We start from the raw sequence: 27791 nt of genomic DNA, 5'->3' as shown, positions 1-27791 counted from the left end.
GAGAGTTAATTGTTCACTTCTATCATCCTTTGGAATAAAATTCCTAGCAAAAAAAGGGCAACTCATACAGATGGCAAAAGCATAGCATCAGAGGCTAAGTCATCTCAGAATCACAAATTCTTAGGGGCATCCTGAAAGCTCCTCTCTTCCTCTCCATTCTAACATATTCTACTACAGGACAAATGCCAGACTTAGAGGGTATTTACACAACAAAGAAAAGAGTACTAATAAAGCAGACTGTGTATTTGTGTTTTAAAATTGTGATGATATAGTCAATCTATATTTGTATGCAAACATTCATTCATGCCTACAAAACCAGTTTTCAGTTATATTCTGATTTTCAAAGAATCTAAACATACTGTCTTCTTACAATTACCTTAATTGATTAGATGCTGAATTTTGTCTTACTCAGTCATTGCCATGGTATAAAAATTCCAGACCCAAACATTATTTTTTTATCATTCTACAAACTTGTTTTAAATTGCAGTATCCAACTTTGTAAAACCAAGTGTGAGCATATGTTTAATCTCATAATGACAATTATAATATAATCATGAAACTCGAAGTCACCAATATTTGTCCAAGGTATCATCATGAGGCTTATGGAAACACAGTGGAAGTACGCCAGCACTCTGGGCGCCAACAGAAATGGAAGTTACACGGATTAAAAAAGAATTTGCCTATTCGAAATGGTCTTTTACTAATATCGAGCCTGCAACTTAGTATATTTGGTTAAGTGATGATGACCTGGTTTTACAAACACAGATTATTCAAATAGAAAGAAGGCAGAAGGCTGGCGTCATCCTAGAAGGTCAGAGCTTTAGGCCTTTGTGGGGAGGAAAAAAGAATAAAAAATAAATAAATCTCTGTGGGCCAGGGAGATGAACAATATGGCAATGCTGAAGTCATTGCAACATTATTTATCTTTTTTCTCTGAGTATGATTTCTAATCTTCAAGAGTTTTTTGTTTGAAAGTTAAAAAACCAAAAACCTTTCCATGTTTTTCTATCTCCCTTAGAATATAAAATCTGAGAGAACAGGACTTGCTATTGCACGTTTTTTTATCCCAACTTGGATTTCATTATTTTATAAATCATGAGCTCTTTAAAAAATGCTGACATTTAATGAGTAAATTCAACTAACTCAGGGTTTAGTTCAAAAGAATAAGCATTTATTGAATCTCTATTATGTACAAGGCATTGGACCAAGTGCTAGGGAGACTACGTGGTGATAAGCACATAAAAAATAACATCTCCATCCTGAGCAACGTAGTGAGACCCCATCACTACAAAACATAAAAAGTAACATCTCCATCCTGAGCAACATAGTGAGACCCCATCACTACAAAACATGAAAAATAACATCTCCATCCTGAGCAACGTAGTGAGACCCCATCACTACAAAATATAAAAAACATTGGCCGGGCATGGTGGCACCAGCCTGTGGTCCCAGCTACCTGGGAGGCTGGGGTGGGAGGAGTGCTTGAACCCAGGAGGTCAAGTCTGCAGTGAGCTGTGATTGTGCCACTGCACTCCAGCCTGAGCGACAGAGAAAGACCCTGTCTCAAAAAATAAATAAATAAATAAATAAATAAGTAAAACTTTATGAAACATACTATTTCCTCCTTTTTGCTTATCTGTCAAGAAACTCAAAGCCCAATTTCTTGTTCAATTGCAATAATGTTTTCAGGCTAGATTTTCTATAACAATTCTCTTTTATTACAATGACTGTTTTTTTTTAGAATTGGAAAAAAATGTATATGTAACGTAGTAAATAAATAAGTCTAAGTCAGGATAAAGTGAGCTAAGTGCCACAAGAAAAATCGCAACAGAATGCAATGAGGATTCATAGGCTGAAAGGATTGTATGGGAGAAGACAGGAGGTGAGTTTTCCAGGAAAAGGTCATTCCAAGCTAAGAAGACAGATGGGCAAAGGTACAGAGATAGGAATGTGTAAGATACTTGGGAGAAAAGAGTTCAGATACAAGGAGGTTAGAACAGAAGATGGGTTGTTTCATTAACTCTAAACACACAAAAAATTAACTCTTCTCTACTAAGGGTCATATTAGCATGTTGTTCACATATGTGAAATTTTCCCCGTAAGCAAAGTAAGGGTATCTTCATCTTACTCATCAGTGAGATCAAAGACTGGAGAAGACATGACCATGTAATTTCAGCACAGACACAAGAAGCAATAATAAATCATGAAGAATTAATGAATTTCATCAAGTGAGCACTCCATAAATGCTTTGCAATTGTAGTCATACAGATCACTAAGACTTGTATACACTTTTGTTTTATGAACATTTAAGCTTTTACAATGGCCCCTATATTGCCTGTCTTCTCTAATGAGCTCAAAGCAATTCGTTCTTTGGAGGCCATGATCTATTCTTTACACTTTAAAGATGGAAAGACTGAAAAATTATGAGGACAATGATCTGTGTAAGGATCATGGAACTTAACAGACAAAAGAAAAACAATGCCTCATTATATGTACGAGGGAAATGCAAAGTAGAATCTGTGGGTTCATGCTGAAAAATCAAAATTAGAACAGCTAATCAAGTGAGAGAGTGTGACTAGTTCAAGAATTAATCACAAAATTCTCCATTGCCCATATTACAGATTAAACTTGTTTTTAGAAGCACATATGTGATTAAGAGCAAAGAGGTCAGTAACACTGGAAAAAGGTAGTGAACTAACATGGAAAGTTGTCTAGTCAGCTTTGTGTGGTTGCTCAGTTGCTGCAGCCCTATGTTTTTCAAACTACAGGTCACAATCCATTAGTTGGTCATGAAACCAATTTACAAAGTCACAAATAGCATTTTAAAAAATGTCTGTATACTTAGTATTGAAACATTTATTCTAGTTAATATCAGGTATAAATATATAAACATATGTTCTCAGTCAGACTGCAAATGACCCCAGCCTCAGTCAAAAAAAAGTTGTTTGAAAGCCATTGCTGTATTCTTCCCCACTGGGAAGTTAGGCTTGGGAGTCAATAGGACTGAGACTCCAAAATGCAGCTTAACCAAGAATTTCAGTACAATTGAAATTGTGACTGCAAAGATTATATTGCAACATATTATTATGAGAGGGTATGTGTGCCGTATCTATGATATTTCTATATCAAATAGGTAAGAATTTATGAATGTGAGTAGTAATGTCTGCACAGTTGTTCTAATATTTAATGCTAGATAAATGGTTTAGATCAACCATTCTCAACTTTTTAGTCTCAAGACTCCTTTACACTCTTAAAAATTATTTTTTTAATTACTTTTTATTTATTTTATTTTTGAGATGGAGTCTCGCTCTATCACCCAGGCTGGAGTGCAGTGGCAGGATCTCGGCTCACTGCAACCTCTGCCTCCCGGGTTCAAGCGATTCTCCTGCCTCAGCCTCCCGAGTATCCGGGATTACAGGTACCTGCCACCACTCCTGGCTAATTTTTGTATTTTTAGTAGAGACGGGGTTTCACCATGTTGGCCAGGCTGGTCTTGAACTACTGACCTTGTGATCCGCCCGCCTCAGCCTCCCAAAGTGCTGGGATTACAGGCAGGAGCCACCGCACCTGGCCCACTCTTAAAAATTATTAAGGACTCCCTCAGAGAACTTTTGTTTATGTGAGTTATACCCACCTATATTTACCATATTGGAAATTAAAAATAACTTTAAAGACCCCGGGCTATGTGTGTTTTGTTTGGAGTATATGAAGAAACTCTGGCCTCATATGTAGATAATGTAGTTGGAAAAGAGATGGATATTTTAATAGAGTTTTTCAGACAATTGTGGATATTCTTCTTGGATAATATACCAAAACTTGACAAGCTGGAGTTTCTCAAAGCTTAGCTGCAATGTACTATCTGAAATCCTATTAACTTTTCATACTGTTACATTAAAAATCCATTAGTCCACCTTGTCCTTGAATGGATCTTTTGCCTGTGCATGATTATGTAGCATGAGACATTGGTCTTTTGGAAAATACTGGACCACTGAGTTAAGCAGATCTTTGAGATATTGACACTTTCCATTATACAAGATTTGTTAAAATTGCGCTCATTAATATCATCACTGATCTCATCAGAAAAAAAAACATTAAGTACTGAGATGTCAAGCTCATGGCAGTAGATACACATTTTCTAAACTTTTAATTCTGGCTTGAAGGCTTAAAAATTATCATTGGCAGCAGTAATTGTCCCTTGTTTTCCTGAAAGTGACAGGCACACTTTATTTATTTTCAGAAAAATGTCTGTCAAGTACCTGTTTGAATAATCATAGTTTGCCCATCTTTCTTTCAAGTAAAAATGTTTTATGAAAATAAAAATAAAAACATGAATTCGGCCTACAACTCAAGCACAGAAGTATTTTCCTAGAGACAAATATGACACACTTCATTTTGCAGCAGACGTGCTTTATGCCTATTTCCTATTTTTTCATGCAGAATGTTAAAAAGAATTGTACCCAAGGATTAAGCTTCAATGAAATTAATAATTCTTACTGCTTATCAAGAACACCATCAGGTGACACTGGCTCTCTACCTTCTTCTTTTTTTTTTTTTCTTTTGTAACTGAGAGTGCAGATTAGTGACGCGTACTTTGACTAGCAATACAGTTTGGTGCCCCTGCCTTGATTGGGTTAAACCACCGGCGCTTTTAACCACCATTGTCTGCAAAACGTCACCACAGTGAACAAGTCAAATAAGTAAGTCTCAGCATTGTCATAAAAGGTTTTGTTTTTTTTTTGACCTTGCAGATCCCCTGAAAGGGTCTCAGAAACTCCCAAAGGGTTCCAGGACCACACCACACTTTGAGAACCACTGGGTGTTAGCGCATTCAGAAATCAATTCAGTTCTCTTTCTCTTCAGAGTTCTTGATGCTCGAGGCTTATTTATTGTGATAGATTTGATCACTGAAGCGCCAAAGAAAAGATATGCCAAGGGGTCGAACACATCCAAGAAGGAAATCCTACCGCACACACAGCTCAAAGGCTCGAGCGCGTAGAAAAACAGCTCTTGGAGAAAGAAACGGGATGCAGAGGGCAGGCCTGGGCTTGTCGTTGCCAGTGGCAACGATCCTCAGTGGGCGGGGCGCGGCCATCGATTAGTGAGGCCTTGCGTCTGTCGGCGGGCAGGAGGGTGGGGGTGACTGGAGCCGGAAGGCCTCCCGGGCCGTGTGGTCGCCGTGGGTTCTCGGTTGCGAGGCAGCTCGCTCGTTCTGCGATCTATTGAGAGTGGCTTCCAAGAGCCCCGTGCCTATGTCTGGGAGGGAGGGAAGATGGCAGCCGTGGCGGCAGGCGGCCTGGTGGGAAAGGGGCGCGACATCAGCCTAGCGGCCCTGCAGCGCCACGACCCCTATATCAACCGCATCGTGGACGTGGCCAGCCAGGTGGCTCTGTACACCTTCGGCCATCGGGCCAACGAGTGGGTGCGTGCGGACGCGGCGGAGCAGTGCAGCCCAGGGTTGGGGTGGAGGCGGGGGGCGTCAGACTCAGGACTTGAGGACCCGGTGAGGGGGAGGAGACGTTGACGCCCTGGAAGTGGGTGGATCTGGGGACTGAGGCCGAAGTTGTGGAGATGGGGTCTCGGGGGTTTGGGGGAAGGAAGGCGGATCTGTGGAGCTACCTGGAGTTGGGGAAAAGACTTAAATCTCTAACGTACCCAACGCTGGGAGACCAGACCGATCGGGTACGGCACCATAAGAGCCGAAGGAAAGGAAGGACCTGATACCTTATGGCCGGAAGACCGATGTGCTCGAGAAAGTAGAGCAGAGTTCTGTTACAGTGAATCTGTGGCTATGGGGGAGGCAGGGACAGCAGACGAATAAAAGTGCAGAGTTCTGATTTTGGAATGTCAGTCTTAGATGGGGCAAAGAGAAATCAAAACTTGATAGAAGGGGAGAAATCTGCAAGTTGTAAACTTAAGGGGAAACACCAAGAAAAGAGCCAACCTCGTCAAATAAAAGACAAAATGGGGCAGGGTCTAACACTTAGAAGGAAGCTGATGCTCTTGGGAAGATTATTACACGGCAGCACACCAAGTTCGATATTGGAGGTCATTTGGGAGCCAAATTATTTTAGTGCTCTTCTCAAAGCAGAGTCCCAGTAAATGGTAATGGAATGAAATTTCATTTTCCTCATAGTTAGAATGGGGTAGAAGCCTAGAACACTGGAATCCTGTTGCAGGGATTGCTGCTTGTAATTTTGTAACCCACCCACTCGAATGTAGAGACATGTAATTTTGTTTCTTTACTCATAATGAGTTTTGTCCAAATAATATTCATCATCCATTATGTATCACATACATGATATCCATCATTTTAAAATAAGTTACAAAACAGTATGGAGAACTTAGCCTTGATGAATGGATTTCAGATAAACTTTTTGTGTTCTTCAAGTCGGTTGTATAAACATCAAAACTTAATCTAGGAAAACATCCATGTTGAACAACTCTGTATTTTTTTTAACACCCACATTCATAAGCCTACTTATCTGCAGTATAGTTCAGCAGCCTGTAGTAAAAAACTCACCTGAAAATCATTAACATAAAAATAAAAAGACAAGCAAGAATGGGGTAGACAAACAGTTTTGCCCAAAGTTCTTAACGGAGGAAATTTGCCGGAATGGGGCAAAGAATTTAGGTCTGCTCTCCTAGTAGCCAAACACAAAAGGAGAACAGGAAGAGCTCTTTAATATTCGTTCTTCTGTAATAGAAAGTGTACCTCTTGATCAGGAGAAAGAGGTTATTTCCCCCTAGTTTCCAGGGGAATTTGTCACCTACTTTTTTTGTTTGTTTTTGTTTGTTTGTTTTTTCGAGGTGTCACCTTCGTTTTTACATAAAGAACATTGAGCAACATAGACAGTTTCCTCCATGGTAATTAAAAATATATAAAAAGATATTCTACATATGGCTATTTTGCTGCTCTGTAGAAAAATGCTAAAGGTATAATGTTATAATCCTGTAAAAGTAATTCCGTAGTAGAGAGATGAGGACCAGGGATGTATAGTTCTGTAAGTTGACTTGACACTGGGATTCGAGTCTGGAGAATCCCAAGAAACTGTCAGTATAAAGAGAGTAGAGCATTTCTCTTGAATAATAGTTGTTTCCTATAGGCTTTTGACCCTTATCAATGTGATAGATACCTTTTTAAGATAGTTACAGATGTTTATTAGATACCTAAAGCCTCATCAAAAAGCAGATGTGTCACAATGCATTAATTACAGGAGTTATGTTTTCCTGCTTGCTGGATATGTTGCCTTCAGACAGGGCATAATTCATTCAGGAAAAGGTCATTCTTTCAAAGTTCTAATCTTCAAGGCTGTGGTAGCCAGAAAAACAGAGAGACCTAGTTCAACTGCAGAGCAGTTGCTGGAGGCAAACTAATTATGACCACTGTCTCCATGTGCTGTCACTGTGGATGGGAGCCGTTTGAATGTAAACCTAATAAGAATATGAGAACATTGTTGAGAATAGAGGAGAAAGTATTTACAAGAAGGCAGGGGGGATCTTAAGGAGGGGAATTCTTATTGCCCTGAAAATGGATGAAGAATGACTTCAGCCTTTCAAAGGAGGAGAAATTAGGAAGGAAAGGTGTCTAGAAAATGAACTGCTTTAAAGAAGGATTAAGAAAGATTATGTGATGACTGGAATAGGAATTTTAGAGTTAGACCTACTCCCTGTTGCCAGGAAAGACTGCCCCCCGCCTCCAAAATATTAATACCTATGTGTCAATTGAAGACCATAACCCTGGTATTTTCCAGCTGTCAGTCCTTAGACCAGTGGCTCTCAGCTGGAGTTGATTTTGCCCCCAGGTGACATTTGGCAGTGTCTGGAGACGTTTTTGGTTGTCACACTGAAGGGAAGAGTGTTGTGACATCTATAGAGTAGAGGCCAGGGAATGCTGAGCCTGAAAACTGCCCTAAAGTGACTAACGTTGTGTTCCTAGCTAGTGGTTTTCTAAGTTTTTGGTGTATCCAAATAAGTCAGAGTTTTTTAAAAGTGAAAAATGCCAAACTAAAACCTCTGGATAATGAGACCCAGGCATTTCATATTGTTGAAAGCCTCATAGGTGACTCACGTGCTACATGCATGATGAAGAGAGATTTGGGAGGATAAGTTGAGACCTACTTTTTGATTATTTTAACTGAGAATAATCAAGTTAAAATAGAGATTGCGTTGAGCTAGTTTGTGTCAGACAGTGTGCAGAGTCCCCAAAATTTGCAAAACAGCACTATTTTATATTCCATTTTGGGTTTTTTAGTATTTTGAATTCTGAATTGCTTATTTCTTTAGCACTTGTTAGATTTTATAATACAGTATAATATTAAATCCTCAAATTGTACTTTTAAAATTTAAGCTAAAATACCCCAGGACTGGTAACTAATACTTTCACATAAAAGTCCTCCTTAAAGGATCTAAGGAACATCTAATCTTGTTTTAGCTATTCTCCACATCCCTAACCCTGGACTTTGCTCAGAAAGAAAAAAAAAATCTGGTTGCCCTTGGATAACTATGGAGGGGCCAGGAAAATGCGTGAATTTGGGCAGCTGTAATAGAACAGAAATGTATATTTTCAAAGTCTCTTTTATCCAGGTGTCATAGAGCGCCTGACGTTTTTTCATCAAAAGATCTGAGTAGTGTAAGCTGATTATCTCTCTTTTTTTTTTTTTTTTGAGACGAAGTCTCGCTCTTGTTCCCCAGGCTGGAGTGCAATGGCGTGACCATGGCTCACTGCAACCTCTGCCTCCTGGGTTCAAGCTATTCTCCTGCCTCAGCCTCCAGAGTATCCAGGATTACAGGCGCCTGCCACCACTCCTGGCTAATTTTTGCATTTTTAGTAGAGACGGGGTTTCACCATGTTGGCCAGGCTGGTCTTGAACTCCTGACCTCAGGTGATCCACCCGCCTCGGCCTCCCAAAGTGCTGGGGTTACAGGCGTGAGCCCCTGTGCCCGGCCTGGTTATCTCTTTTCAATGGAGAAACTGAGACATATAATAATAAACTAATTAGCCCAGCATGATCTGGCAAGAACCCCACTACAGGTCCCAGGTTGTGATTACTGAAACACAACTCCTTCCTATGAACAAACTCATATTCTTTGTGTGTAATGCTAAATAAAAATCTTAGTTTTAAGAATTACTTGTTATAAGTTAGAGATTAATTTTAGGAGAAGCATGCCTTTTACATTTTTGACCTTGGAATTTAAAAACTAAAATGTGGCATTAAAGGTTTTTTTTTTTTAATTAAGAAAAGAGAATTTCTGTTACATCAAGGAAGAAAGGAAACAAGTCAGAAGCTATTTAGTTTTATGTGTGCTGATATATATAGATATCCTTATTCAGATCTCTAAGATGAAACAGTCCAAGGTCAGATACTGGAAGACCAGGAGAGTGTTTTGATCTTGTGGGGAGTGATCCTGACTACATAGAGGTTCTGCAAAGTCCTAGTTCTATCACCTGTATCTTGGCTCAGTTTCCTAACAATGTAATGGATAATACCAAATACTTTCTACAAATTTATTTTTAAATGCTTTGTGGACTTGTGAATACTTGCTGACTGAATCAGTTAAACTTTAGGGACAGCCAAAAATTTGTATACTGTTCAGGTAGCATTTACTGTACTGTAGGGGCCATTTTCCTGATTAATACTTTGGTGGTTTGGGTGTAAGTAATTCTTAGTGCTTCAGGTACACTCAGGATATACATTTGTCAGCAGATAGGAATTAACCATGTTTGTTTTCAAAGAAAGATAAGTAATGTTTCTGTATATATATTTTTTCATTTTGACTTGGATATTTTTCAAAGTACAGGGGCAAACGAGCCACATTTCAGAAATAAGGATATGTTTCACAGTATGTTGTGGTGATTTATACAAACTTCATAGTGAATCTAGTTTAAGGATGAACTCCCTGACTTACCTATGCTTTTATGTTAGGGAAAAAACTGGCTAAAGTTGTTTTAATTGTTATTTATTTATTTATTTATAAGAAACAGGGTCTCCCTCTGTTGCCCAGGCTGGAATGCAGAGGTACAATCATAGCTCACTGTAGCCTCAAACTCCTGGGCTGAAGCAATCCTCCCTCCTCAGCCTCCTGAGTAGCTGAGACTACCGGCATGTGCCACCACACCTGGCTAATTAAAAAAATTTTTGTTTTGTAGAGGCAAGGTCTCACTATGTTGCCCAGGCTGGTCTCAAACTGAACTCCTGGCCACAAGCGATCCTCCTGCCTGCCTCAGCCTCCCAGAGTGCTGGGATTACAGACATGAGCCACTGTGCCTGGTCTAAATTCTTTATTTATAATTTCATATTCCATAATAATAAACATCTTGAGATTAAATATTTTGTTACTAGGTAATGATTTTTTATAGCCATTTACTCTTGATAATAGCTTGATATGATTTGTGCCATAATGGATTTTGTTTTCAGGACTTGTAATATAATTTCATGGGCAGAGAGTATGTTGTTGAACTAAGGCAGTGAGTGGCTCTCAAACTAGCATACATCAGAATCACCTGGACAGTTTAATAAAACCCAGATTGCTGAGCACCATCCCCAGAGTTTCTGATTCAGTAGGTTTGGGCAGGAGCCCAAGAGCTTGCATTTCTAATAAGTTCCCAGGTGACGCTGATGCCGCTGATCTGGGGATAACACTTTGAGACCCACTGAACTAAAGTGAATGAGAAATTTGCTGAAATTGCCTGAGCATGTGAAAGGATCATGCCTTGTGTGCCTTTTAAAAACTGCTGTTTTGACATTACGCTTTTTTTAAAAGGGCGTATTTTTCACCAGAATTACAGAGTACTTAAATTTTGAATGATTATGGTGATGAATATTAATAATAAAATATCAGGGGTTTAAATAGAATGCTGAAATTAAACCATGTAAATTGCAAAAGTACATTTTAAATTCTGAATTACAGTAGGTCTGGTTCGTGGTTAGTCAAACACCTGGATACTTACATGTGTGTTTTTTAGTATGCATTATATGGATGAATATTATAATGGCCTAGCTTCCTGCCTTTGGAGAAATGGAAAAGAAATGTGAAGTGACCTAGTTAAACCATCATTTTAACTTTACCACCTCTCCCAGATTTTCTCAGGCAGATTTCTTGAGTCCTAACTTGGTAATACTTGTGTAACTTTACTTCAGTGATCTCGGGTCAGACCTTGACTGTAAATATACTACACTAAGTAGGTGATTGATTCATCTGAGAACTCTGTGGCATCATTGCCCTCTCTGTCTAGCAGTCAAAGTAAAGTTATTGACAGATCATCTGCTCTCCTAAGTCACTGGATATGGCAGGAGAAAATGAACCCAGAAAACAAAATGAAGGATAGTGAAATGCAGACACCAGTGATGTCTGCAGCTTTCTCTATACCCAGTGTGGTGGAAGGAGAAAAAGGCAGCACTCTTCTTTCTAATTAAATCCGCATAGCACACTTATTTTCTCATTGTTTCAGCTAAGGGTATGCTGCTATCCCTGTATTTGGTAAAGAGAGATAATGATGATTTGTTTTATAAATGACAAAAGAAAGACTGCTTCCTGCTGCCTAATCTGCAGAGGCACAATGATGACATAGAACTTGCTTTCTCCTTTTCCTGAGAATAACTCCTCATGTTGGGTATATTTGGCCCATTGAAGTTATATATAATTCCTATTCTATGAGAATTTGTTTTATACCTTTGTGAATTGAAGAGAACATACATGTCTTGTGTGTTTTGTTTTTATTGTTTAGGAGAAAACTGATGTGGAAGGAACCTTATTTGTTTATACAAGGTAAGAGTGTTTCACTTTTATAAAGAAACTAATCTTCAAAATAATATTTTAGCTCCGTTGTGTCACTCTTCTTCAAGTGCATGCAGTTTTATTTCAAAAAGAAGTAAAAGAATTAAATCTCAGTTTTGAAATTATTAGTTGACACGAAGAAGGGAATACCAAATAATGTCACCTGGTATATCGTGATGAATACTAATTTCAGAATATAATTTAAACTTCAATGTAGATGAACTTAAATCATTGACTGGGCACTGTTTAAAATAGATTAAATATTCTTTGATTCAAGTGAATGGCACAAAGTTCTTGAATATAATGCATTGGCAAGGAGCTAGAAGAACACTATCAGAAATACTAGATTGTTCAGTTAATATTTGGAAAAGGGTTTCATTGATCATTTTTCTTTTTTTTGAGATGGAGTCTCGCTCTGTCACCAAGGCTGGAGTGCAGTGGCACGATCACAGCTCTTGGCTTGCTGCAACCTCTGCCTCCTGAGTTCAAGTGATTCTCCTGCCTCAGCCTTCTGAGTAGCTGGGATTACAGGCATGCGCCACCACGCCCAGCTAATTTTTAGTAGCAACGGAGGTTTCACCATGTTGGTCAGGCTGGTCTCAAACTCCTGACCTCGTGATCCACCCGCCTTGGCCTCCTAAAGTGCTGGGATTACAGGCGTGAGCCACCGCACCTGGCTGTTGATCACTTTTCTCCCACCCCTGACTCTTTAAAAAAGCATGATCCAAAATTGAAGATGTCTTTCAGTCCTCCATTGTCTAGTCAATAGAATATGTTTCAGGATAGATTTAATAAACTCATGTTTTTAGTCATTTCTTGTTATCAGATATTAATATCAAATTACGAGTGCATATAGAGACATACATTATGTATATTGGCTCAATAAATAAACTTTTCATTCACATAAACATTCACATAAAATGTCATAGCCAAAGGTCATCACCTTCAATGAGGGTACAAAGATGAAATTAAAAGACCTAATATAAACCTTTCTAGGGGTATCTGTTTCACTGGGGAGACAGGAAATACACACACACAAGTGTATTTTCTTTCCACATATATTCATGTTTATGGTAAGCCACAATACAGGATAGAGTATCCTAAGTGCCAGTGGATAGATTCTGAGCAATGAATGGGCTGCTGTGATCATGGAAGGCTTTATCGCAAGCTTGTCCAACCCACGGCCCATAGGACACGTGGCCCAAGATGGCTTTGAATGTAGCCTGACAGAAATTCGTAAACTTCTTTAAAACATTAGAAGAGTTTGTTGTTTTTTTTTTTTTTTTTTTTTTTTTTTTTTTTTTTTTTTAGCTCATCAGCTATTATTAGTGTATTTTATGTGTGGCCCAAGACAATTCTTCCCTTTCCAAGGTGTCCCAGGAAGGCCAAAAGATTGGACACCCCTGCTTTATAGAGTGATGTGTCTTGAATTGGGCCTCAGGAATATGGTGGAACTTAGCTTGCATAGAGGAGAGGGAAGGCAGTCTCAACAGGAAGAATGGCAAAAGCAGGGGCGGAGAACCTGGTGTGTTAAAGGGACAGTGAGGGAGATGTGGTGCAGAGGGCTTATACTGGTTTATAGTAGTTAGCAAGTGTAAAGAGATTTGCTAGCTTGGAATGGCAGACTCTGGATTTTGAGATTATTTTCTTAGCAGTAGGAAGTTATTGAAGGCTTATGAACAGGAGAGTAATAGAGAAAATGTATGGGGAAAGTCAGTGTATTCACTTCATGGGGACGCACTAGTTCTGGAAGAAATTGGAGTCAGGACAGTGAGAAGATTATTGCAGTGGGGTAGATATGAAATGATGAGAGTTGGGATTAGAATAATAGAAATTGAAATGGAAAGGGTATTGCAATGGTGAAATTTTAAAAATGACAATATTTTGAACATGGAAGATTGAGAATGACAGAAGCATTGGTGGAAAAGAAAGACAGGAGGTCAAGAATGTGGCTTGAGGATCAGCCCTCATTTTACTTTGAAGTAATGATTTGGAACTGGTAGCAGGACACTTGGGTGGAGGTGGCCAGCCCCTCAGAGTAAGGGCAGGGCTGGAGATGGTTTAGAGTTGTCTGAAGTAATTTGGTAGTTGAAACCATGAAATAAAAGCTGTTCCCTGAAGGAGTGAGTATAAAGAGGAACCGATGAGGGTTTATGGTTAGGTTTGAGGGCCAGCAAGGATACAGATGAGTCAGCTGGAAAGATAAAAGCAGGACTAGAACAGCACAGAGAGGCCCATTTGGGGCAAAGTGTGGGCATGATGGAGGTCTGTGTATGCTGGGCAGGAGGGAGCTCAGCTGCAGGGGAGGAAGGTCTGTTCCAGTGGAGGCAACAATGGGAGGTGGAAGGAAGGAATGGGAGGCAAGGCCAGCACACTTGGTGACAAGGAGGTCAGGTTCTTCACAGTCTCAGAAGAGCAGTGGAGTACCCAAGAACCGTTGGTATATGAGTCTACATTATGCTCCCAAACATCCAGAGCACCAGAGCATGCCCCCAGGCAAGTTTATTGGGTAGAGTATGAGCACTCTTGAGGATTCTGAAGTTTACAACAAAAGCCATAGGGTTGCACTGTACTATGTGCCATGCACACAGGGTGCGTTCTCACTCATCTCTCACAACACGCATTATGATTCTTTGGAGAAGTGACAGAAAAGATGTATTAGTAAGTATTAATGATTGATTTGGGGAATTTTTAGTAGGGTTTTTTTTTAACTATGGAAGAGGAACAAATCATACAAATATTTTCTTTTGTACATCCAGACCAAATATAAGTTTGTATTTTCAAGGATTTCTTACTATACTCTAAGTCTCTAATGGAACTCTCAATTAAACAAAACATTAAATTGAGAAAAAAATCCTTTGCTGTTTTTTAGTCTTTTCTCCAAATCTAACTCCTCAAGAATGGGATGCCTCCCTTATCCCCTGCAAAACAAAAACCTCCCAGATCCTAGAATGTTGAAGGCTTTCTTCAGTAGCGAATTACAAAAAGCATGTAAAACTCATGGTGGGTGGGGGGTGGGAGGCTTGTTACAGGGAATGGAGCTGGCAGTGATTTATTTTGACTTCTCTTACAGAAGTTGCTTTAGAGCAGTTGGCACATTTATCCCCTGGGCCTATTTTCTAAATTATGAGATGCTATAGTAGCTGTACTATTAAAGAGGTGAGATCCTGTTGTGATAATGAAATACATGCAGAATCAAATTCTCATTCTTGTATGAAAACACTTAATCCCATTTAAAAAATCATTTATTTCCTCCCATGCCTTCCTTTCTGTAATAGAGAGTTCATAGAGACACCCACTGGTGATTTCTGAACTTGACAGTTCCAGAAGACCCCTAACAGAGCTCTTTGGGAGTACATTTTCATTCTTCCTCTGAATTTAAGTTGAAGTGATGATCATGATTATTTCTGGTATTGATTGTATGCTTACCACCACTTTACCCCTTTGTAAAATAAGCTAGGCAAGGATTGCCTCCCATCAATTTTAAAATTGGAGGTTTCAGAAGAAAATCCTGGTAGTGGTTATGTAGCTGTGTTCCTTGATCAGTATCAAATAGAGGTAAAATAAAACTAAGACATAAACAACTTGTCTTCCTGTTGCTCATAACATTTCTGTGGGTTTGTTAATAACAGCCCTAGCACCCTCATTTAAAGTAAATAAATGAATTCTGCTTGCTTCAGCTTCAGTGTGTAAGTATGTGGTGTTTCATTTGTCACCGGAAGTTGCGCAGTTGAATTACTATATGGCTGTCACCCAAGGGTAGATGAATGCACATGTAGTTGTTAGAGTTTATACTCAGTATAATTTGGATTCTTTCTGCCTGGCAGAGCAGGCATTCAAGGTTTATTGAGTGAAATGAAAATAAAACATCACTAAATGTCACATTTTTATAGAGAAAAACTTATAGTGGTTTATCTGTGAAGCTGTTTGCTTTGCATTGAAGAAAACAAAGTATCTGCCCTTTGCACTGTTATGTAAACTTCTAGTTCAGGCTGTGTCCTCACAAGTTCATTGTTCAGAGTTGCTTCATATCACTAAGAGATTTTGCAGGCTTCAATTTCAGACTAACACTTAAAATTTTCTATGAAAATTTTCTTCATATAATTGTGATGTACACTCTAATATTAACTACCAAGATTGTTTAAAATATCTTTAATTAATTTAACTTTTAAAAAGTATTCTTTAAAAGTCAGTAATGTTTTAAAAAGTAGTTACTCTGCCTTAAAGGAATTTACAACGTTAGGTTAAGAAATAAACAACATCTGTATACACACACACACACACACACACACACACACCACAAATGAAGTATGACTCAATTTTACCAAATGAATCATCATGCCAGTGCTGCTGCATTACATGGGAATTAGTCCATAATGATGCCAGTGGTGAAGAAGTACGTGTACAGGCTGCTTATATAAAGCTGCATATACAAACAAAGGTTGAGAGACACATCAGAATGTACTTATACTGAAAATATAGCATACTAAGCAATTTGTCTATTGATTTCCCCCTGACTCCTTGTGATTTTTAGGTCTGCTTCTCCAAAGCATGGATTCACCATTATGAATAGGCTGAGCATGGAAAATAGGACAGAACCTATTACTAAAGACTTGGATTTCCAACTCCAGGACCCTTTCCTTCTCTACAGAAATGCCAGATGTGAGTCTTTCTTACTACAGTGGGTTGTTTTACTTCTGAAGTTTGGCCAAGTGTTTAAAATTGTACAGTGTTTGCCATTGTGTTTGCATTTGGTATCAGTGGCTATGGGGGGTGTCAGCATTTTAACAAATGTTAATGTTTAGGAAATGCATGCCCTAATGATGGAATAGATTCTTCCTTGGAAGAGTTTAAGTGAATATAAATATGATGATATAAACCTAAACCCTGTCTTTTGAAGCTTTATGGATTTGTAGTGTGAACCCATTGCTGATCTTAAGCCTGAGCAGGGCTGGGTGAGGCAAGTTCTTAGTGAGGAGACTGCAGAGACACACACATAGGTGGCTCCCTGAACGAAGAATTAACGAGTCTGCTATGGCACTTTTTCTTTATGTATCACTTTTGGCCGAGTGAGCTGACAAAGTGTTTGAGGGCCTGTATTGTAGGAGTGCCATCTTCTGAATACAAGTAAATAAAAAATCAAAGTCCAAAAAGTTTCTTTCAGTCATTAAGAATTTAATAACCCTTTGTAATGTGGAAGTCGTAGTAGGTAACTAAATAGTCCTTGTCAGATTTGAAATGAAGTAGCCATCGCCTTTCTCATACTACATTTTACTCTCGTATCGTTTCTGACCACTTGTGTTGCACTGCTGGTCAGCCCAGAGGAAGATTGCTGAAAATATGCCAGTTGCAGGGACATCTCTACACACAGAAAACAAGAACATAATACTCAATATATAAATACATATGTGTGCACACACATGCACCTTATGCTTTGTGGACAGCTTTCATAAAGACCTTGCAGTGAAGAAATGTTTTCTGTATATTTTTCATCCTACTCTTTGAACTCAAGATACATGAATTTGCCTACCATATACTATTCAGTGTAATTTTAATGAGTATAATGTAAATAATATTTGACATTTTAACCCCAATGCATCATTAAGATGCATTAAAATGATGCTGTATATAATTGTCATAATAGGTGGTTATCCTATTATTTAGAGAATAAATTTTTATGAGAGAAAAAAATAAAGCTATTGAAACTATAATATGACTTACTAATGGCAGGTCCTGTGAAATGAAAAGTTTTGCAATATAGAAAAATATTGTGTTTTCTCCTCATGTTTCTTTGCCGAAAGGTACACTTTATCAATTGTAGTTTATTACTAAAGACTTGGAATTCCAACTCCAGGACCCTTTCCTTCTCTACAGAAATGCCAGTTTGAATTGTTTATAGTTTGAATTGTTTTGTGTGCTTATAGTTATGTCAGGGTTTTTTTTGAGATTATTAGATTTTATGTCAAATTAATATATAATTTAAGTCCTAATAAAATAACTACAAAGTTACCTGTAATCATCACTTTTGGTTGCTTTTATTTTGGATAAATACATGGTCTGATCAGTTATAGGTAATATTTTATTTTAAATTCTTATTATAGATCACATATTAACTACTATACCAAAAATATAAAAACACAAACTCTCTTTAATGCATCAATTTAAAAAATAACCTTCTTAAGTCCCACAGGGTTTATCTGATAGAAAATACTATTTAGATCTAATAAACATACACCTTGGTTCTAAGCGTGTGCTGTCCACTATGATAGTCACTAACTACTGTGGCCGTTTAGTACCTGAAGTGTGGCTAGTCTAAACGGAGCTGCACTGTGAGTGTCCAACAGGCACCAACTGTCAGACAGTGCAAAAAAAAAAGGAAAAAACCTCAATTATTAATTATTTTATATTAACATGTTGAAATGACAATATTTTGGATAAATTGGGCAAAATAAAATATATTATTAATTTCACTTGCTTCTTTGTATTTTTTAATTTAAAATAACAGATGTGGCTCACGTTCGTGGTTCCCCTCATATTTCTATTGAATGGCACTGTTCTATTTTAATTTGTTTTTCATATTTTATTTTATGTTTCCGTATTTTATAATGATTTTCATTTATTTTACCATGTTTAATAATCACAATTTTGTGGAGTAGACATTTTCATTGCCATTTTGCAGATGAGGAAACTGAGACTCCAGTGAGGAGGCAGACTGTGTAAAAACCCACAGATTCTGATTTCACTTCCGTTGCTTTTTCCACACCACCTGTACTGCTCTACTATTAAACATGGATGCAAATTAAAGGTAGCCTTTGGGATGCATATTAAAATGTTTCTAATGAATTTCCATACAAAAGAAATAGAATCAGTTGAACAACAAAGAGTGAAAGGGAATGGATCTATTTACTTTTCTGGATTCATTTTGCCTTTTTTTTTTTTTTGTCCTTTCTATCTGATACTGATTGCCTTTGCACCCAGAGTCATTTGGTTTTATGTTGTTTGCAAAAGCCTTTTCAATCCCGGGCATCAAAGGTACACAGAAGGGTTTACCACAGGTGCTGTCAGAGTGTCAGATACCTCTTAAACGTTTTAATAGAATTCAAATATGTTATATAATAATTATGTATGGTTTACATGTTCTTTGGTGGCATATAGATTGGTTGGCCTTTCTTTGGGCAAGGAACTCAGCTTTACTCAGGATTGTTTTTGTAAGACTATTTCCTCAAGATATTCTGTATAGTCAAGAATCTCTCTGTCTGGTCTTTGCATTTCACATTGGCTTATGTATGTCATAGGCCATATTTGGGCATTTCAAATAGACAAAGGTAGAATTGATAGAGGTTTGTGGTGAGGTTTTTTAGATTCATTAGGAGAGAAAAAAAAAATCCCTTTCTTGAATTGGATGAATGTAGAAGAGCAAAATAAAGAAATGAAAATCCCAAACTCTCTTCATTTAATCAGCCAAAAAAAGATGCTTGATAAATAGAGTAACTTCATTCAAACACAAAATAGATTACTTTATTACAGAAAAGGGTTTATACATTGTTTAAAGGGTTTAAACATTGTTAAAATGGGGTTTGACCTGTATGAACTTTAAAAGTAAGTAAGATAGCTGTTAAAGTTAGGGCAAACATTTCATTCATTCATTTATTCAACAAACATTTACTGTCTGCCAAACACTATGTTCAGGTTTTATATGGGTTATCCCATAACTTTTTCTTGAAAATACTGTTATTCCTGTTTTATAAATGAGAATACTAAGGTTAAAGGGATTAAGTGATACGCTGTGGTCCATGACTATTTTGAGATGGAAACACCACTTGAACCAAGAAACCTTAACTTCGAGACCCAAGGCCCAAGCAGTGAAGTACTAGCAGTAAATAATGCATTTGAGCCAAGTTTATCATTTACAAACACTTAGTTATTTTAGAGTACGCTCCAAGGTTTAAAAAGCAAGTTTTTTTAGCCTTGAGATTCAAGCATATATCAGTTATTAGAGAGATTAGTTTTTACCAGATTAAAAACTAATTTAACAAAAAGCTGAATTAGACCACTTCTTTTGTAATATTCCCATATAGTAATCACTTACTGTGTTTTTCATTTCGCAACTAAATAAGATATTAGCATATGGAAATATATTTTCCCAAATATAATACTTAAGTTATAGACAGCAATGACATGGGGATTCCTTTCTTTTCTTGCTTTTTCAATTGAGACGGAGTCTTGCTCTATTTGTCCAGGCTGGAGTGCAGTGGCACAATCTCGGCTTATTGCAGCCTCCACCTCCCAAGTTCAAGCAATTCTCCTGCCTCAGCCTCTGAGTAGCTGGGATTATAGGTGTATGGCACCATGCCTGGCTGATTTTTGTGTTTTTAGTAGAGACAGGGTTTCACCGTGTTGGCCAGGATGGTCTCAAACTCCTGACTTCAAGTGATCACCCACCTTGGCCTCCCAAAGGGCTGGGATTATAGGCGTGAGCCACCACGCCCAGCCCCTTTCCTTTCCCTTTCCCTTTCCCTTTTCTTTCCTCTTTCCTTTTTCTCTTTGCTCTGCTCCTGCTCCTGCTCCTGCTCCTGCTCTGCTCTTTAGAGACAAGTTCTTGCTCTGTCACCCAGGCTGGAGTGCCATGGCATTGGTCATAGCCTCATTGCAACCTTGAACTCCTGGGCTAAACCGCCATATCCAGATAATTTAAAACAACCTTTTTAGAGACAGGATCTTGCTGTGTTTCCCAGGCTGGTTTCAAATTCCTGGCCTCAAGTGATCTTCCCACCTCAGCCTCCTGAGTAGTTGGCATTACAGGCGGGAGCCACCATGCCCAGCTGACAGGGATATTTCAGAGCTAGGCCAACAAGTTGAATATAGGATATAATCCACAGTTATAGGATTGCAATGAAATTCTTTTTAGATGCTGGATTTTATTGCAGATGTAAACCTGAAGTTTAGATCAAATCAGAAAAGAAAAACTTAAGATATTTAGGACCAAAACTATTTTAGAAAACTCCTCCTAAGTCTTAAAGTGAATTTACCATTTTGGGTAGTTTTGTATGAAAAAAGAAATGACAGTTTAAATCCTTGATTAACATTCATAGGATCTGGGAAAAACTGCTATAAATAACGGAAATAGTACCCTGAATGAAAAGGAAAATTACAGGTAGCCCCCATCTTCTAAATAGGCCATCTTCATAAAAGTTGCCTTCTAAAGTGAGTGGTTGGTAGACTTTTGGGTAAACGATGGCAGAGTGAGCACACTCCTAGTTTTCCTGAAATTCTCTTGAAATGACAGTAAAAAAATTAAAAAGACATAAACCCAAAGGATGAAGGATCCATTTTACGAAAGAGATAGAATAAACAAGAAATAGGAAGCGTGCTGTAATAGCTTTATTGTTCACAAACATGAGCGTTGCCTCCTCACAGAGGGTTATTTATCTTTGCTCTGTTGGCTATACCACGCATTGACCCACCCTGCAGAATGGTAATATGTACTCACCTTGTTGTACTCAAGTATGGCTATACTAATTGCTTTGGCCAGTGAAATGTGGCTGAAAGTGATATGTATCACTTCTGAGCAAATATTTTAAGAACTAGCTTAAGATTTACTGCCTTTTTTCCTTCTGCCATGATGACCAGCAATATTCCAGGCAGAGGCTGCTTTGTGAGCCTAGGTTCTGAAATGAAGATAACATGGCACAGAGGTAACAATGACCCATGATGGACACGTAGCTTGTAGAAATAAACCTGTGTCATTGTAAGCTAAGCCATTGAGATTTTGGTGTCATTTGTTACTGTAGCATAACTTGGCCTATTGTGACTGATATACAAATCATCCAGGAAGAAGGGAATCTCCCAGAGCAAAGGTGAAGAGTCCCGTAATGACCCCTGTGCAACTGGAGGGGATTTAAATTAAAGTCAAAGGGTGAATTGCTTCAGGAATGGTATCCAAGAAAAAATTTACAACTGATAGTTTGAATCTATTGGGACATTTACAGCTACTTTTTAAGAGTTTGGTGATGATATGAGGAGCATTGAAAACTAAGGGGGAGGGAGACAGAAGAAACCCTTTTTAATTCCTGGGAAAACAAAATATTGAACAAAAAAGGAAATGTAATCATAGTACACCATGTAGCTCTGCAAATCATAATACATAGTTAAAGACACTGAATATGAAAGCATTATATTGGAAGGATGGGGTTGTATGTGTGTGTATCTGTGTGTGAATTTGTGTGTATTGTAAGAAAACTGAATCCTCTTCAGTCAATTTTTGAAAATCAAGAAATGGTACATACATGATATATGGGAAAGGGATTTAAATACCATAAGAAAAATTGGATGAGAAATAAATGGAGAGCAGAAAGAACTGTCGTAGATGTAATTTAAATTGCTTTCAGGGAGCAGTAATCAAGAATGGAGTGACTAGAGAAGGGTTCTATTTGCTATGAAGTTCACAGTATTATTTAACTTCTAAAATTATGTACATGTATTATTTTTATGGAAATAAAAACCAAAAATATAATTGGATATCAAAATACATTCTCTCATAAAAAACATAATTTTAGTTGTGGTTAGCTTTCCAAGTCAACTCACAAAAGCCTTTCTAGCCCAGTGTGCACCTGTTTAAGAGTAGCATACTAGTATTATAATGATGTACATATGAAATACAGCACTAGCATATGTAGGATTATTTCTGTAGGAAAATCCATTCAAGAATAAAACTGTATAGAGGCCAAGAATATAATTTCCTTAGCAGCAGGGCAGAGTACTTCTAATGCCCATTTGTATTAACAAATCGTTTGTAAAGCTGGGAGTTCCTGTAAGTTCTTTTTTTTAAGCATGCGTGGTAATAGTAAACCTTTTGAAGCCTTCACAGCCATGTTTCTTAATTCTGGAGTGGTTCTGTAGCTTCTCTCCTTCGTTCTATCCCCACTTCTATTCCAGTTCAGGCTTTCATTATGTGTTACTTGGGATGTTTCATAACCCCCCATAGCAAAAAGGGATTGAACTTCTGGCATCATCCAAAATAGAATAAGTTCACTACAGTATATCTCTCCCACTGTTTACAACTAAAAGTTCTGGGCAGATTACAAAAGCAACTAACTGGGGCCTCTGAAAGTAAATGACAACAGACACACTGAGGAGAGCAATCAGAACTTGAAGAAAAACTGCTATGGTGGTGAGTTCCTGGCTTTATTCTTTCCTCTTTTATCAACTGGCTTTGACCCAAGAATGCGCCAAGTCACAGAACGCTAGGAAAAAAAAAATAACAAAACCTGAGAGAAACTCCTCTTTCTAAAAACTTCCCCCTTTTCTTTCCCTACCTCCCTTTTACTCTTCTACCCCTACCGTGAAGCCAGTTGCAGGGAAAGCTGAACTGCCACTGTGGTGGTCATGGTGGTAGCACAGGCACCTGACATCCCAAGAAAGACCCTGTCTCTGCCCCTGTGGTCTGAAGAGTGGAGGAAAATCCCATTATGTATTTTTATTTTTATTTTCTTTTGCTGCACAGACTGTCTGACAGTGTGAGAGTCTAAAACCCTGAGATAAACCCTGACTTTGTAGTCGGAAGACTGGGGAAAAAGGCCCCTGACAGCTGGCGAGTGGGAGCAATTCTAGAGGAGGGAGCTGGATGAGGAGATCTCCTAATTCTGTCTAGGAACTCATGCAAATCCTGGGTCCACCTGTGAGCTACATACATGTAACAGAACCCAGGAAATAACAACAGCTTTGAGAATTAACTTACAATATAAACCATTATTCCAAATTCAGACTAGTATATGTATAGGGCAGACATAAACACCTTTGAAAATAGAACTGACGGCTGGGCGCAGTGGCTCACGCCTGTAATCCCAGCACTTTGGGAGGCCAAGGCGGGCAGATCACGAGGTCAGGAGATCGAGACCATCCTGGCTAACACGGTGAAACTCCATCTCTACTAAAAATACAAAACAAAATTAGCCAAGTGTGGTGGCAGGCACCTGCAGTCCCAGCTACTTGGGAGGCTGAGGCAGGAGAATGGCGTGAACCCAGGAGGTGGAGCTTGCAGTGAGCCAAGATCGCACCACTGCACTCCAGCCTGGGCGACAGAGGGAGACTCGTCTCAAAAAAAAAGAAAAAAGAAAATGGAACTGATATGGGAAGCATCATCCACAGGCAGCAAGACAGAGCTTCTTATCTAAACCTAACTGAATTGATTGCTTTCTCAAATATACAAAGTGAACATTCTCTGGAGGGTTTCAAGAGGACTCTGAGTCTCACAAAATAATAAAAATGTCCAGGGTGCAATCCAAAATTACTAGCCAGGAAAATATGCCAAACTGTCAAGGAAAAAATCAGTAGCCACCCTGAGATGATCTGGATGTTAGAATTATAAGATAGTGACATTAAGATAGTTATTACCATGCTCTGTGAGGTAAAACTGGATACTCTTGAAAAGAATGGAAAGATAGAAATTCTTGGCACAAAAATAGGTATAAAAAATAACCAAATGGAAAATTTGGAACTGAATAATATACTATTTCTTGGATGGTCTTAATAGCAAAATGCAGATGACAGTGGAAAGAAGAGTTAGTGAACTCATAGATAGGTCAATAGAAATTTTCAAACCTGAAGAATATAGAGCCAAGATGTTTTTTAAAAATGAACAGGGCCTTCAGAAATCCGTGGGGCAATATCAGAAGGTCTAATTTGTGCCATTGAAGTCTAATAAAGAGGAGAGACTCATAAATATTTGAAAAAATAATGTCCAAAACCTTTCCCAGTCTAATGAAGGAGACAAATGTATAGATTCAAGGAACTCAGTGAATCCCCAAACAGAATAAACCCAAAGAAAACCATGCCCATGACATGACAGTCACAATCAAACTGCTGAAAAACAAAGATTTTTTTTTTTTTTTAATCTTGAAAGCAAACCAGAGAAAACCATTGTGTTACATCTAGGATAATAATGTTTTGAATGACTGCAGATTTCTTATCAGAAATTATGTAGGCCAGAAGACAGTGGAGCAACATTTTCAAGTTTGGAAATAAAAGAGCTATTAACCTAGAATTCTATTTCCAGCAAAAATATCATTCAGGAATGAAGGTGAAATAAAGACATATACTCTGATAAAGGAAACATAAAAAGAACCTTTTTTTTTTTTTTTTTTTTTTTACCAGAAGACCCACTGTAGAATAAATGCTAAAAGAAATTCTTCAGGCTGGAAGGAATAATATCAAAGGGAAAGCTGGAATTGCAGGATGAAGTAGGAACAACAGAAATAGTAAATATACGGGTAATTACAAAAGATTTATTTTTTCTCCTCTCAAATTCTTTAAAATACATGTGACTGTTGAAAGCAAAAGTTATAACATTGTCAGGAAGGAGGTTCAGTGTATACGGATGTGATACATGTGACAACTATAACATAAAAAGAGAGGGTAAATGGACCTGTACACTTATAGAGCCTTTACATTCTGTTTGAAGTGGTAAAAGAAAAACTCTAAGTATAGACTGGGTAAAGTTAGATATGTATATTGTATTTCTTAGAGCAACCACTAAAAAGAAATATAGAGATATCACCAAGAGATAAAATAGAATACTAAAAAATTCAAATAACCCAAAAGAAGACAAGAAAGAGGGTAACAGGAGAGCAAAAAACATGACAAACATTAAACAAAAAATAAAACGGTAGACCTACCCAAGTTCAACCATATCGGTAGTTACGTTACATGTAAATGGGCTAACATAGTGATTAAAAGAGATTGCCAGATTGGATTAAAAAAGCATGGCCTAACTATATGCTTTCTACACAAAACCCATTTTAAATGTAACAATATAGATAGGTTAAAGGTAAAAGGATGAAGAAAGATATACCATGCAAATACTAATGAAAAGAAAACTGGGGTGTCTAGATTAACATCAGACAAAGTAGATGTCAGAACAATGAAAATTACCAGGGATAAAAAACGACATTGCATAATGATATAGGGATAAAGTCATCCAAAAGGCATAATAATTATTAATGTGTATGCACCTAAATACAGAGCTTCAAAGTGTGTGAAGCAAAAAGTGATAGAACCGAAAGGAGAAGTTTTTGTTTTTTTTTTAATTCTGCAGTTACTTGGAGAATTTAGTGCTCCACTTTCTACAATCAATAGAGCAAGAGGACAGAAAACAGCAAGTATATGGAAGACTTGAACAACACTATCAACTAAACACAGCTGTCATTTATATTATATTCTATCGAATGACAGCAGAATGGACGTTCTTCTCAAGTGCACGTGAAACATTCCCCAAGATAAACCTTATCGTAGGTCATAAAGCAAACCTTAAAAATTTTTAAAGAGTTGAAATCATACAAAGTATATTCTTGGGACCACAATAGAATTAAATTAGACATCAACAACAGAAAGGTATCTGGAATATCCCCAAATATTTGGAAATTAAACAGCATACTTCTGAAAAAGTCATGTCAAAGAAGAAAGAAAATTAGAGAACATTTGAACTGAATAACAATGAAAATTATAATATTTCAGTTGCAACCAAAGTTGGACTTACAGGGAAATTTATAGCATCAAATACTTGTATTGGAAAAGAAGAAAGTTCTTAAGTCAGTAATTCAAACGTTCACTTAAAGAAAATAGGAGAAGAGTATATTAAATCCAAAGCAAACAGAAGGAAAGAAATAAAAAGAAGAGAAATCAATGAGATAAAAAACAAAAAAACTGTTTAGAGAAAATTAGTGAAACCAAAACCTGATTATCTTTGAAAAGAATCAGTAAAACTGGTAAACACCTGGCCAGACTGATGAAGGAAAAAAAAAAAGAAGACACAAATTAGCAGTATCAGAAATGAAAGAAAGGCTATCTACAGACATTAAAAGGATAATAAGGGAGTACTATAATTCAGCAACTTAGATGAAATGGACTAATTCACTGAGAAATACAAATCATCAGAATTAACTCAAGAAAAATAGGTAAGCTGAATAGTCCCATAATAAGGAATTGAATTTGTAATTAAAAATCTAACAAAACTCCAAGTTCAGATAGTTTAACTGGTGAATTCTACCAAATGTTCAAGGGAGGAATAATACCAATTCTATACAATCTCTTTCAGAAAGTAGAAGAGGTATTATTTTCCAACTCATTTTATGAGGGCAGCATTATCCTGATACCAAAACAAGGCAAAGACATTTCAAGAAAAGAAAATTATTGATCAATGTCTCTTGTGAATATAGGTATAAAAATCCTCAGCAAAATGCGAACAAAAAAATGTTTATAGTAGCATTATTCACAGTAGCCAAATGGTGGGAATAACCCAAACATCCATCAGTGAATGAATGGATAAACAAAATATTATATACACATACAATGGAATATTATTCAACCTCAAAAGAGAATAAAATTATATATATAGTACAACGTGAATGAACCTTGAAGACATTATGCTAAGTTAAACCAGACACAAAAGAACAAATATTGTATGATTCCACTTCTGTGAGGTACCTAGAGTAGTCAAATTCATACAGACAGAAAGTAAAATAGTGGTTTTCAGGGGCTTCAGGGAATGGAGAGTGGGGAGTTATCTTCTAATGGGTACAGAGTTTTAGTTTGGGATGATGAAAAAGTTCTGGAGATGGATAGCGGTGATGGTTGCACAATATTGTGGATGTGCTTAATGCCACTGAACTGCATATTTTAAACTGTAAATTTAATGTTTTTAATATTTTAACACAATAAAAAAGGAAAAAATACTAGCAAATTGAATCCAGCAATTCATAAAAAGGATATGTCGTTAGCCTTATAATTCACATCTGGCTTATCCCCTCCATCCAAAACCACAGCTGGATTTATCTTCCTGTAGCACAAGCCTAATTAATTTGCTTTCCTTCTCAAAATCTGAAATGCCTTCCAAGTAAAACTTTTCACCTAACATTTAAAGCTGGCTGTAGTCAGGTCAGTTACCCTTTCAGATCACATCTGCTGCTACTCTTGCACGCTTGCCTAATGCTCCAAGCAAACAACTACATATACACTTTCCC

At 37.6% G+C, this 27791-nt stretch overlaps 2 protein-coding genes across 34 annotated transcripts in view, besides 3 other annotated features; one reads left to right on the top strand and one right to left on the bottom strand.

Annotated features, from left to right (window-relative positions):
- CACNA1C (calcium voltage-gated channel subunit alpha1 C) overlaps positions 1-27791 on the bottom strand; it is a 727171-nt gene that overhangs the window by 688250 nt on the left and 11130 nt on the right. The gene's annotated exons all lie outside the window — the stretch shown is intronic.
- Positions 4969-5198: an enhancer, noted in NCBI's record as "active region_5813". NCBI's record gives its function as "activates an Ori minimal core promoter by ATAC-STARR-seq in GM12878 lymphoblastoid cells {active_cell/tissue: GM12878}" and the evidence as "EXISTENCE:reporter gene assay evidence [ECO:0000049][PMID:35858748]".
- Positions 5244-27791, top strand: part of DCP1B (decapping mRNA 1B) — a 62867-nt gene continuing 40319 nt past the window's right edge. The window contains exons 1-4 of one of the 3 annotated variants that reach the window (NR_135060.2): positions 5244-5419; positions 11726-11766; positions 16310-16437; positions 18455-18580. Coding sequence is in view for 2 of the 3 variants with exons in the window: in NM_001319292.2 (NP_001306221.1) it covers positions 5270-5419; positions 11726-11766; positions 16310-16580 (462 nt within the window). In the remaining variant the exon portion in view is untranslated. Of the gene's footprint in view, positions 5420-11725; positions 11767-16309; positions 18246-18454; positions 18581-27791 lie in introns of those variants that run through there. The other 2 variants (NM_152640.5, NM_001319292.2) reach the window with 2 other exon arrangements.
- Positions 5523-6162: an enhancer, noted in NCBI's record as "H3K27ac hESC enhancer chr12:2112705-2113344 (GRCh37/hg19 assembly coordinates)". NCBI's record gives its function as "activates a minimal SCP1, AML or CMV promoter by ChIP-STARR-seq in primed H9 embryonic stem cells {active_cell/tissue: H9 hESC(primed)}" and the evidence as "EXISTENCE:reporter gene assay evidence [ECO:0000049][PMID:30033119]".
- Positions 15944-16238: a silencer, noted in NCBI's record as "tiled region #10568; K562 Repressive non-DNase unmatched - State 24:Quies". NCBI's record gives its function as "represses a minimal TATA promoter and a strong SV40 promoter by Sharpr-MPRA in K562 cells {active_cell/tissue: K562}" and the evidence as "EXISTENCE:reporter gene assay evidence [ECO:0000049][PMID:27701403]".

Source organism: Homo sapiens, chromosome 12 (assembly GCF_000001405.40).
Source record: "Homo sapiens chromosome 12, GRCh38.p14 Primary Assembly".
Lineage (NCBI taxonomy): Eukaryota > Metazoa > Chordata > Mammalia > Primates > Hominidae > Homo > Homo sapiens.
The sequence above is the reverse complement of the archived record's forward strand: the minus strand, read 5'-3'. Positions and strand labels throughout refer to the sequence as shown.